General features: G+C 32.8%; 1 protein-coding gene across 35 annotated transcripts in view; it reads left to right on the top strand.

The window, feature by feature from the left end:
- ODF2L (outer dense fiber of sperm tails 2 like) overlaps positions 1-12801 on the top strand; it is a 49487-nt gene that overhangs the window by 19880 nt on the left and 16806 nt on the right. For 30 of the 35 annotated variants that reach the window (NM_001395534.1, NM_001395526.1, NM_001395527.1 and 27 more), the window contains 3 exons: positions 26-211; positions 3904-4013; positions 5291-5426. In NM_001395534.1, coding sequence (NP_001382463.1) covers positions 26-211; positions 3904-4013; positions 5291-5426 — 432 coding nt within the window. Of the gene's footprint in view, positions 1-25; positions 212-3903; positions 4014-5290; positions 5427-7721; positions 7809-12801 lie in introns of all 35 variants that reach the window. The other 5 variants (NM_001395531.1, NM_001395530.1, NM_001184765.2 and 2 more) reach the window with 1 other exon arrangement.

The raw sequence follows: 12801 nt of genomic DNA, 5'->3' as shown, positions 1-12801 counted from the left end.
TAATTGTTGCTAATTTTTTTTTTAGAGCTTAGAAACCAAGATAGCCAAGTGGAACCTGCAATCAAGAATGAATAAGAATGAGGCTATAGTGATGAAAGAAGCAAGTAGGCAAAAAACTGTAGCTTTAAAAAAGGCATCTAAAGTTTACAAACAAAGGCTTGACCATTTTACAGGAGCTATTGAAAAGCTTACTTCCCAAATTAGAGATCAGGTATGTAAATGCATTCTTTTTAAAATTAAAAGATCTATTATGTACGTAGTTTATATAATTAATATCATGATGCTTAATATAGTAATTTTATTCTTTTCTTAATGCTGTTAATACCAGAAAAAACTTACACTTTTTGCTTTAATCTTTTACTTTGAAATATTACATAAAATGTCAAATTTTCATATTGAAATATATCAGCATTTCCTTGGGAACTTTACTTAAAGGAAATATTAAGTGTGTCCCCCCCGCCTCCACACACAAAAAAAGGTTCTATTGGCCAACTAACTAAGGGTAATACTTCATACATATTTCCCCTTGGGACATTGTGGTCTATGTTAGCAAATTAAAGGTTCTGAGAAGGCTTTCAGAAACAGTGGAATGAAGGGTATTGAACTAAGAGTTTCCCACACTTTTTTAACCACAGAGCTAGTCTTTTATGCACAAAGCAACTCTTGGAACTGGTTCTGAGGAACACTAGTTTGAGAAATGCTGATTTATGTTATTAGACCCTATGACTTTATTCAGTAATTAACCTAATTTAATCTCTGTAATACATTTAAAACCATGTGCTGACATAAACACACCAAGTAAAATATATCTTTGGTATAGTACAAATTTGAAAATGGCCTTAGTGCTTTGTTGTTTTTGATAAATTATTATATTTATTCAATTACTAATTAATAATTTTTTTAAAAAAGTCTCACTGATATCCTGCCTCTTAAGAACTTATGTTAAGGCTTATAGAATTATTAGAGGCTTTTAGAAATGAAAACAGACTTGTATAAAAAGTTTATGGCAAACAAAGTAGTATTTTGTTAACCTTGTGACTTGGGATAAGGAACTTAACCTCTTCAATTTCCTCATGTATAAAATAGGGCATCATAATACTCCCTATCTCATGTGTTTGTAGGGAGAGATAAATGAGAAAATATATTTTTGCATTGTCCTCCTTTCTGTTGCTGTAATGCATGAAGTTTTTTTCTTTGTTTTGTTGTTTTTCTTGTTTGTTGTTGCATCTGGCTTTAATATTCTTCCCTGGCTCACAATAGCTCTTTCTTTTTTTAATCATTCAGGTATCTTTTCAATTGACATCTCTTCAGAGAGGCCTTTCTTGACCATTTCTTTTGAAGTAGTTCTAAAACAATCATATCAATGTCTTAATTTTTTTCATAGCATTCACTATAATCTGAAACTATATCATTTATTTTTTCATTTATCACTGCTGTTGTGTTTTGTTTTATTTTTAACTGTTTCCTTCTACTTGAGTATAAGTCTCAGAAGGCAGGAGCTTGCTATCCTATTCACCTAAGGTAAGGGTACCATTATTTAAAACAGTACCTTAAGTCTAAAATATGAACAGTTCAGCAATAAGAGCTAAATAATAGTTTAACAAAATGTTATCACATATCTACACAATGCGTAAATTTTGCCAAGGACTACAGAGACAGATCAAGGACAAGGAGGATTTGTAAACGTCTGTGGTCTTTGGTAATTAGAAGGTCACTAGTTACTAATTCACATGCAGTTTCAATGCAGTGGAAGGAAAGGTGAAAAGGGGTATTTTGCTTTATCTGCATGTTATAAGGAGAGATGAAAGGAGAAATGGGGATTTGGAAAGTACGAGAGACCACTGATTCTGACTTTTAGTACCTAGGGGCCAGGATGTTAAATGCTCTATAATTCTGCACACTGAAGAATTAACCCATTTCCTTCTTTGAAAATTAGATCCTAATTTTGCTTCTCGTGGCTTAGATGTGCCATTTCTCTAAAGCAAAGAGAAAAGGTAGGCCAACTCAAAAAATCTCTAGGAAGGTGATTCCATCACTGACTAGTTTCAACATCTAGGAATGCCATACTGATGAAGTAGGTAATAATTATATTGCTAACATATAAATTCTTTTCTTACTGATAAAACTTCTAAATATCTTAATTTATATTATAAACTTATACTTCATAATTTATATTAAAGCTTATTTTATACAAAATATGAAAACAATACTAGTCTTCAATATATCAAAATATTCCTGTGAAAAAATTTAAACAAAAAAGTCTTGCACGTAATACATGCTCAGTAAATACTTGCTCAGTAAATGGATGAATGATGAAAGAAAGAAGTACCCAATAAATGTTAATTGTTGTCATTACTGTTTCTAAGCTTTTTGATTTGTAATTACTGGCATTGTGGCCTTCCAGTGTGTTTTTATGTAGAATGTAGAGCGGAGGCACAGTGGCTACAGCTCTTTAGGTGGATCTGCAGAGAATTATTTGAGCTATTTATTGAGTGTTTGCTGTGCTCCAGGCACTATCAAGGCCCTAGAAATATAGCCATGAACAAAAGCAGATAAAAATCCCTACCTCATGGGAGTTCACATTCAAAATGAATAAGCCACTACTACCACTTGTATCTCTGTGTGGACGGTAGCAGTGTTTGAAGGCTGATGGGGTGACCTCTACAAAATAGATCTTGGCGTCATTATAGCAAAGACAAGTAAGGTACATCACCAAATGTTATGGAGCTGTGGAATTGGGGATAGTTTCTGTGTATATCACAGGGGCTTTCTCCTCTGATGCTTATGTGTTTGTTACCATCTTCTCTCTATAGAGCATGAAATTAATTCAAGACCAGCCTGGGCAACATAACAAGATGCTGTCTCTACTATATATATACAGTATATAGTATATACACCATATATATAGAGTAGTTATATATATCAATATATATGTATAACATATATATATAGTATATACATATGTATCTAGATATATTTTATATATGCATGTGTATATATGTGGTGGCTGTGGTTGGCAGACATTTGTAGCCCTAGCTACTAGGGAGGCTGAGGCAGGAGGATCCCTTGCACTCAGGAGTTGGAGGCTGCAGTGAACCATCATGACCGTGCCACTGCACTTCAGCCAGGGCAAAAAAAAAAAAAAGTAAAATGGAAAGTTCAGTAAAAAGAAAAGAAATTATCTTAATTATGAAATATTGTTTAAAAATAGTTGCAACATCTTTTAAAATTTAAGTTGAAACTTCCACTATGTGTATATGAAATAATAGCAATATAGATATTTACTTTACAATTTTTCTATTCAAAGTTGTACAGTGACTTTATTTATTTCAATAGTTTTTAGGGGACAGGTCGTTTCTGGTTACCTGGACAACTTCTTTAGTGGTTATTTCTGACATTTTGGTGCACCTGTCACCCGAGCACTGTACACTGTAGCCAATGTGTAGTCTTTTACCCCTCACCTCCCTCCCTCCCTTCTCCCTAGTTCCTAAAGTCCTTTATATCAATCTTATGCTTTTGCATTTTCATAGCTTAGCTCCCACTTATGAGTGAGAACATACGATATTTGGTTTTCCATTCCTGAGTTACTTCACTTATAATAGCTGTCTCCAACTTCATCCAGGTTGCTGCAGATGTTCCTTTTAATGGCTGAGTAGTATTCCATGATGGATATATACCATATTTTCTTTATCCACTCATTGGTTGGTGGGCATTTAGGCTGGTTCCATATTTTTGCAATTATGAATTGCACTGCTATAAACATGCATGTATAGTTTTCTATATTTGAAGTTCCATACTTTTTGGAAGATTGCTTCCCTGTTTATAATGTATTTGTGTTTAGAGATCTGAACAAAACAAAAATGTTTTAAAATTATAGTATGAATACTTTTATGTATTTTTTAGGAAGCCAAGTTGTCTGAAACAATTTCAGCTTCCAATGCCTGGAAAAGTCATTATGAGAAAATTGTGATAGAAAAAACCGAATTGGAAGTACAGATTGAAACAATGAAAAAGTAAGAAAAAATTTAGAATATTTTATTATTTAGTAAGAGTTTTCACTTTTTAAAAAATTCTTTGAGTTGTTTGTATTTTGATTTTTTTTAGATTACATATGGTAAAGGTGCTACCTATATGATTTGATATTTTTGCTATTTATAATTCAATAAAGTTTTCTTACTCTATTATTAAAAATAATTAAAATGATTGCTCATTAAAAGTGAATTGGTGTTCACATTTTTAATTTTTTTTTTTTTTTTGAGATGGAGTCTCACTTTGTTGCCAGGCTGGAGTGCAGTGGTGCAATCTCAGCTCACTGCAACCTCCGCCTCCTGGGTTCAAGTGATTTTCCTGTTTCAGCCTCCCTAGTAGCTGGGACTACAGGCATGCACCACCAAGCCCAGCTGTTTTTTTTTGTATTTTTAGTAGAGACAGGGTTTCACCATGTTGGTCAGGATGGTCTCGATCTCCTGACCTTGTGATCCGCCTGCCTCGGCCTCCCAAAGTGCTGGGATTACAGGCGTGAGCCACCACGCCTGGCCCACATTTTGAAATTTTAAACTTGTAGATTATCATTCAATATTTCAGTATGCCATCTATTATTTGTAGTAAATGTTAATATTTACTTTTTCTTAAATGGAGGTGATGTTTCTCTTTTAAACAAGAATGTGTGAAAATATATCTAAAAGTTTATAATAACTGCTTTGAAAATCGTAAAAATGATTGTTCCTTAAAGTGACTTAAATGCATAACAAAGAAAATGAAAAATAAAAATACATATATTTTATTATTTGAAATGTATTACTGATAACACTATAATGAACCCTGAATATTTGATTTTAAGTGTTTTCTGTGTCTTCAGTTTTGTCATTGAAAACTACCATATATAATTCATTTCTAAAGTTTAGTTTTATTGCCTCACTTAATTCTTTTCTTTAACCTTGTCCCTAAAATTGTGTATATATGTGTGCATGTGTATGAATGACAGGAAGAGAGAGATGTGCATACTTGTGGATAATAGTTTAGAAGTTTTATTGAATAGCAAAGAGCATGTTGTATAATTTTTTGTTGGTATCATCAGTGGGCAATTGTTTCTAATCAGAGTTACTTTGGTTGTACCCTTTTAGATTACTTCTTCTTATTTTTCTTGTTCTATGAGTTCTATTTATTTTTTGTATATTCCCTATTTGAAACGATGCACCCGGCCAAAGTGATTTCAGAAACACACTTAAAATGTGTTATTTGAATAAAAATTTTTATGACTTTTATAAAATGTGTCATTGATTTTATAAAGGCAAATCATTAATCTTTTGGAAGATCTGAAGAAAATGGAAGACCATGGAAAAAATTCATGTGAAGAAATTCTTAGAAAAGTTCACTCAATTGAATATGAAAATGAAACTCTGAATCTTGAGAATACAAAATTAAAGGTACTATGTATGAGTGTTTGAGCAGGCATGTATTGTGTAATGACCATAGTCTACTTAGTAGAAATAGCTTGAAGAAAGAGTATGTTTAGAGCAGTGCTCTTGTATAATTCTGTCTTCTATGCTTGTCAGGATATTATGTTTTCAGCAGTACTAAATAATATTTATGAAGTTGACTGTCTCTTTGCCTCAACTTTTAAAATAAACTACTATGCATTTTTGCAGTTAAATGAATCATCCAAATTACATTAACTTTAGTACATAAGATTATTTCTAGATGTCATGGTTACAATAGGATATAACCTCAGGCCTGGTCTGTTTGAAACCAGAAAGTATGTTCTTGGCTGCTTCATAACCAGAAAGAATTTTCCAACTTACTCATATCCAAGGGGTAATTGCTTTCCATAGGTACCAGAGGAGAGACAGGGGAGAAGCTTTTGAATTTTCTGAGAAAAAAAGATATTTGAGTTCTCAGTCAACCAGAGATACATACAACCAGATGGAACTTGAAAGATGATGGCATCATTTTCACTTCCATAATAATACTTTTAGAGGACAGAAAATAGAAGACAGAAAAGAACCTTTTAAAACCATGAAATAAAGTTTATGTGCACAGGATAAATAATATATTAGTAGCATAGAGTACATTTTAGAGAAACTTGTAATATAAGCATCTAACATTGTTTTGTTGTATTTATAACAGTTTAATTCTATTTAGAATTAACTAAATGATATTTAGAATTAACTAAATGATAATACATTTATTCTATGTATTAAGATGTCCTTAAGACATGTTAAATTCCTAAGAGATATTGCAGATATATTCTGTGGTCCTTGAGAGAAAAGATCTTTAATATTAAAAGAGAAGTGAAGGTCTAAGGCTTTTTTTTTTCTTGATTTAAGGTTTGTTTTTCTTTGTTTGTTTTGCATTAGAAATGCACTTGTTTCTTGGAAACATAATTACTGGCTGTTTAGAATTATGCATTATATAAAGCTTGCAGTGGGTTTTTAAAAATGAGTATGTTTATGAGAAAAAATATACACAATTTAAAAATCATCACCAAAGGAAATTATTTTAATAAAATGATAGCATTCCAGGCTTTAAGGTTCTGAATTGTTATTTTAAAAGATTATTTTTCTGATGGAAACTTGAGATACATCCAAATCTCTTTTACCCTTTCTAAACCCTTCTTTCTATGTAGGTCTAAAATGTTGTGGCCTGAAAAGAGAATTTTATCCATTGTAGGTCTTAGCATATTTTCTCAGGAGCCAATCTGTTTGCTACGTACTGATCTGTCTTTGTGGGAGATACATAGTGTTATGCAGTACAGTGTATAGTAATTAAAGCTTGTGTATTATATATTACAGAAGGCAACAGATTGCCTAAGCCAAAAAGATTCTTTCCCTTTGTAGGTTTACAAAGTTGTAACTTTTCTCATCTTGATGTTGAGTTTCAGTCTCCTTTAGACCAATGGGACAAAGCTAGGCTCACAAATCTCAAGTCTGTTTTGTTCCAGGTGGAAAGACTCGATTGGTTTCAAATGCAGGACTTGAAATTGCCAGTCCTGTTGGCTGTGGTCATTCAGAGTGAGTGGAGGAAATAGGAATCTAAGTGATATACGTTATAGGAAGTAGCAAGGTCTTCTTTTCTCACCTTTAATGTATTTAGTAATGCACTTATTTCGGCTACTTTTTGTTAAGAAAGATTTTAAAAAATCAAAATTGCAGTGTACCTTAATACCATTTTTTTTTAGCAGTGACATTGTGATATTCTGAATTAGAATTTTTTCCTTCAAGAAATTTTGTAAGTCCTTTATGGTTCTTCAAGCAATATGAACTACTCATGTTTTCTTAATAAAAGAAGTTCAGTTATTCAGTGAACATAGTTCTTCCAACTTCTGACAATTTATTCAGTATTATCTTTTGAGTGAAGAATATATACTCATTACAGTAAAACTGGAAACTATAGAAATATAAAAAGAAAAGAACTGAGTGATCATTGACCTCACATTCCTTGGAGATAACTATATTTTGTAATATTTCTGTTTTTTCGTAGTTGTTATTAAAATAATATCTTGCTTTGTTCACTTTAAAATGGAAACAGATTTATGTATATAACATATAAATTCTTTATAAGCATCCTTTTAAATTACTTTGTAATATATAGTCAACGTAGAAGTGTTAGGTGATTCCCTATTTGTTGGACATTCAGGTTATTCCCAATGTTTTTAACATTTAATAATAATAATGCTCTGATGAACATTTTCATACATAAACTTTTTGTTGTATTGTCTTTAGCTTAGATTCCCATGTAGAATTACTGAGTCAAAGAATATGAACATTTTGATTGTTCTTGATATGCTTTGCTACATTTCTTCTGAAAAGGTATTTTATTACTCATACTGCCATTAGTTCTCTATACCTCATCAGCACAGGAAATAAAATGTGTTTTTGATTTGTAGTGTTTGCTAATTTGGCAGGTAAAAATGTTATCTATGGTTTTAATTTGTAACTCTTTGAGGAGCTAGTTTTAAATTTCTAAACAATTTCTATTTTTATTCTTCTGATAGTTATCTGCATATCTGTAAATTATATATTATACTCCTTGGTTTATCAAATTTAGTCAATTATATTAACCTTCTAATTAGTCGAGCACTAACATAATTGATAATATAAATACTAATACAACTAAAAGACATGTTAAATTCCTAGTAAATAATACAACAAACATATAACTTTATACTTTCAAAAAAATAAGTGAAGGTAGTTTGATAGAGGAAGCTAAAAGAGTTAAGGTTTTTATGGACATAAGATATGAATGTTAAGGGCAATATACAATAAGCACTTCCAAGATAGGGCTCATGATCAAAGAGAAGAAAGAGGAGGAGAAACTTCCCTAGTGCTGCTAGTGTATTTTGGAGTATATGGGCTTTATGTAGAGTGCTGTGTACCTCTGTGGCTTGCCGTGTTCAGCTGTGTTTGTGCACTTTGTATTCAGCTGATGTTTTTTACATGGTTCAGACAATTAATGAGCTAGAAAAAATGGCATCTGAACAAAAGTTGCTTCTTTGTTATACATCATTCCCCTGCTTACCAATACTAAGATGAGGTTCACTTGACAGAAATGTGAAACATAGGACAGATTATATATCTTCACCTTTTATTTGGAAAATAAGGATATTTTCTGTTCTTTGTCTGTTCTCCCCACGTTCACTTTGCCAGTGTTGTTAAATTGACAATTTGTTATATAACCTGAAGTGCTCTTTTTATAGATTGATTCTAAACATTAATAGCAATGACTTATAATTGCTCTTTCACTACACAGTCAAGTAATATGTTTATAAATGTTTTTTTCTTGTACAACTTTTAAATTTTTCCTGGAGTTTCCAAAAACCCTGCTTGTTGTACTCTTTGCCCTTATCATTGTCTTGTTTTTGTTTTTGTTGTTGTTTTGTTTTTTTTTTTCCCTTCTTGAAATTCTTCATCCTATCTCTATTCTCTGAAGAACCTATTTTCCCCAGATTTCTTCTACTTTGGGCCTTCTGTCTTCTTATTTCAATCTGAATGGGTTGGTCTCTAGGCCTGCTGCCTAGATGCCATGCTGGAATTTTCTTGACTGCTACCCTGGTTCCAATGTTTCCTTGAACCCACATCGTGTTTCCTTTTCTTTTTACTGGAATATATCTGCAACTAATATTCCCTTAAGACAGAGAAAATTAGAAGTAAACATTAAAATAGTCTTACATGTCTAAAAATGCCTTTATTCTGTCCTCATTATGATTAATGGTTTCAGCTGGGTATAGCAACCTAGATTGAAAGTAATTTTTACTGAGAACTTTGAAGGCTTTGCTCCATGGTTTTCCATAAGTCAGAGTTGCTAGGAGAGAAAATCTGCCACCATTCTGATACTTGTTCCTCTGTAGTGACATTTTTAATTTTTCTTGAAATTTTCAAGAAATTCCCCTTATCCTTGGTGTTTTGAAACTTCACACACATCTAGTTGTGTCTTCCAGTCCTTTGTGCTAAGTACTTTGTAGACCTTGTAAATCCAAAGACTCATGTCCTTTACCTCTGGAAAATTCTGTTATATTATTTCTTTGGTAATGCTCTCTCTCCTGCCCCTTTCTATTTTCTCCAGTCTCTCTGTCTGGGTGTACTGCTGATTGTATTATTGATTTGTTGGACCTCCTAGATTGATACTCTGTCTTCAATTTCTGGGTTTTGTTCAATTTTGGGGGCAGATTTCTTTGGTTTTTATCTCCTAATCCTTCGTTTAAAAGTTTAATTTTCAAGAATTTTAAAAAGTATTCCCCAAGTGTTCATTTCATCAAATATCTGAAAATACCTATAAGAATTTTTTCATTTTTTTTTTCAGTGTTTCAATTTATTGTTTCCAATTGGCACTTTTTTTTTTTGAGACAGAGTCTTGCTCTGTTGCTGATGCTGGAGTGCAGTGGCACGATCAGAACTCACTGCAGCCTTGACCTCCCAGGCTCAAGCAATCTCCCGCTTCAGCCTCCCAAGTAGCTGGGACCACAGCCCATAGCTAATTTGTGTGTGTGAATGTGTGTGTATGTGTATGTGTATGTGTGTGTGTGTGTGTGTGTGTGTGTGTGTGTGTGTGTGTGTAGGTGGGGTCTCACTATGCTGCCTAGGCTCCTGGGCTTTTGAACTCCTGGGCTCAAGCGATCCTCCCACCTTGTCCTCCCAAAGTACTGGGATTACAGGTGTGAGCCACTGTGCCCAACCCAATTTTTTTCTTCCTTTTTTTAATATAAAAAAATTTTAGATCTCTCTCGTGATACTCTTTTTCCGAAAGTCTGGTGACATTTAAAAATTTACAAATGAGACAATAAAAAGACTAACGAAACAGGAGAAAACTAAATGGATATGTGGATGGTTCTTGCCACTAGATTGGTTTCACTTCACTTTTCTCAACTGTTGGGAAACTAGCAGTTTACTGGTGGCTCCTAAAAATGCCAAAATACATGCGTCTTTGCTCTGGGTCGCCAGCACCGTCCCTCTGTTATTCCCAAACAGTTCATTCAATTTCTTTAGAGAAGGACTTTTCTTATCTTTGTTTTTTGGGAAGTAAACTCCTAGTTCCAGGTGTTCTGCCTTGAGTGTGTGAGCAGGGGGTGGAGGGTAGTGGTAGTTAGCTGTTCTAGTCACAGACTTTGAATTAATCCTTTTCAAACCCAGGTCTCACTCTTGCCTTTAGCCCTGTGCCTCTCTAGATTCTACAGATAGATGAACTTCCTCGTTAGCTAAATCCACTCCTGATTCATTAGTCAGTCATCAGTTTTCCAGAAGCATTAACAATATTTTGTCCTTTGATAGCCCCTGGTCTGTTATTTTTATTAAGTTGACTTACAAACATTCTTTTTCCTTTATAATAGTTTGGTCTTGGGAATGAAGGGAGATTTTACAATGTGTTTAGTTCTCCAGCAGAAGTTAAACCTAGGAAATTCTCTCTGATAGGGCACATTACTAATCTTCCCATTTTTCATTCTGTTTTATTCTCTCTATATTAATTTTGCAGGTAGAATTTCATTACACTTACTTGTTTGTATAATTTGTCTCCCTCTGAGGGCTTTTCTTCCCTCCATCCATCCATACCAGGGCCAGGGATTGTTTTATCCTTCCATTACTTCTAGTGCCTAGTACTGTGCCTAGAATACATCAGTCATTTAGTAAATGACTCTGGAGAGTAGCAACCGTAATGGCTACTATTTATCAATTACCATTAATGTAGGAGGCACTTGATAAGTACTTTACTTTTTTTACTTCTAATTCTCATGTCAATACTATCGTAAAGATACTTTTCTTAATTATGGATGAATACCTTGAAGCTCAGAGAGATTAAATAACTTGGCCAGGATCATACAACTAGATTAGTGGCAGAGCCAGAATAGAATTTGGAAGAAGACAGGAAAAAATACTAGACACAATATTGTTCATATTTTATAATTAGAAATTTGATTTGTCTCACATTTTAAGTTATGTAAAGTTTGCCAGAAATTGTATTGGAAAATTCCAGAAAACAAAATACACTAGCAGCACTAGGGAAGTTTCTTTTATATTTCAGCAAGTCTTAGTTAAGATTCAACTTCACCATATATAACAAAATCCAAATTAAATGGCTTAAGTAAGATAGAGATGTATGTTTATTACGTAGAAGAAGTACAGAGTTGGCACTTCAAAGCTGATGTGGCTCTTTAGCTTTTTAGCTTTCTGTTCTGCCATCCCTAGGTCATGACCCTCATTCTCATGATCTAGAATAGAGGCTGGAGCTTCAGCCATTATAGTCAAGTTTCAAGCAACAAGATGGAGGAAAAAAAGATGCATTACCTCCCTTTTTAAAAAATTTCCTCCCCTTTAAGGAGCCTCCCCAAAATTCCCATATGACTTGATTCTTTTACTTACTTAGGCACTTGACCCCTGCCTAGCTGCAAGGGAGACTAGGGAATGTAGTCTTCTAGTTATTCTGAGCTGTAGCCAAATATGAATACTCATTTTCTGCAATTGTTTTATGTTTTCTGCATCTACTCCTATAGTTCTCCTGTTCTTACACATTGGAATGCCATTTTTCTCAGTATCTAAATCCTACCTTTCCTTTAAATTTTAGCTCAAATGCTACTTCCTCCCAAAGTCTTCTCAATGAATCTCTCCTTGTAAACTCCTATCTTTGTGTACATACAGGTTGCCCAGGGAAAGTGTGACATATACTTAACTCTCAATGAATATTTATTGAATGAATGCTTAAATTGCTCTATTTGGAAAGAGAAAGCAATTTTATTATGTTTATTTTCTTATTTTCTTGAAATCCTTCAGAGAGAAAGGATTAGAAAGATATTATAAACTAGTTTTTGATAAAATGATGAATTAATTTTAAATTATATAGACTATAAAAGTCATAAAGTTAAATTTGTATCTTAGCATATTCTATTAATAGTTAAGAAATGTATTTTTAATGCATTATTTTCTGGATTTTTAAGGAAAACATTTAAATAAGTTTGGCACATGTTATTTGCAGAGTAAATGCAGTTTTTTTTGCAGCCTAGATGTTTGTGTTTTATTACTTTTAATTACTTTAGAATAGTTTTAGATTTTAAAGTTGCAAATGAAAAATAAACTGTGAGTACTGCTTTCAAGGCCGAGTAACCTCCTCTATTAAACACAACAGAAAGTTTATTTGGAAGGTTAAAAAGTTGTATTTGTTTCTAATAGAAAGTTAGAAAAACAGAAAAGCACAAAAGGAAAAAAATTTAAATCACCTGTAATCTCATAACTGAAAGATAACTGGAGTTAATATTTTAGCATATATATAATTTTTTATTTTATATGTAATATATACACTACTTCCAATAGCTACTTC

This window comes from Homo sapiens, chromosome 1, assembly GCF_000001405.40.
Source record: "Homo sapiens chromosome 1, GRCh38.p14 Primary Assembly".
NCBI classification, from domain to species: domain Eukaryota; kingdom Metazoa; phylum Chordata; class Mammalia; order Primates; family Hominidae; genus Homo; species Homo sapiens.
This window is presented reverse-complemented; position numbering and strand designations above follow the sequence as displayed.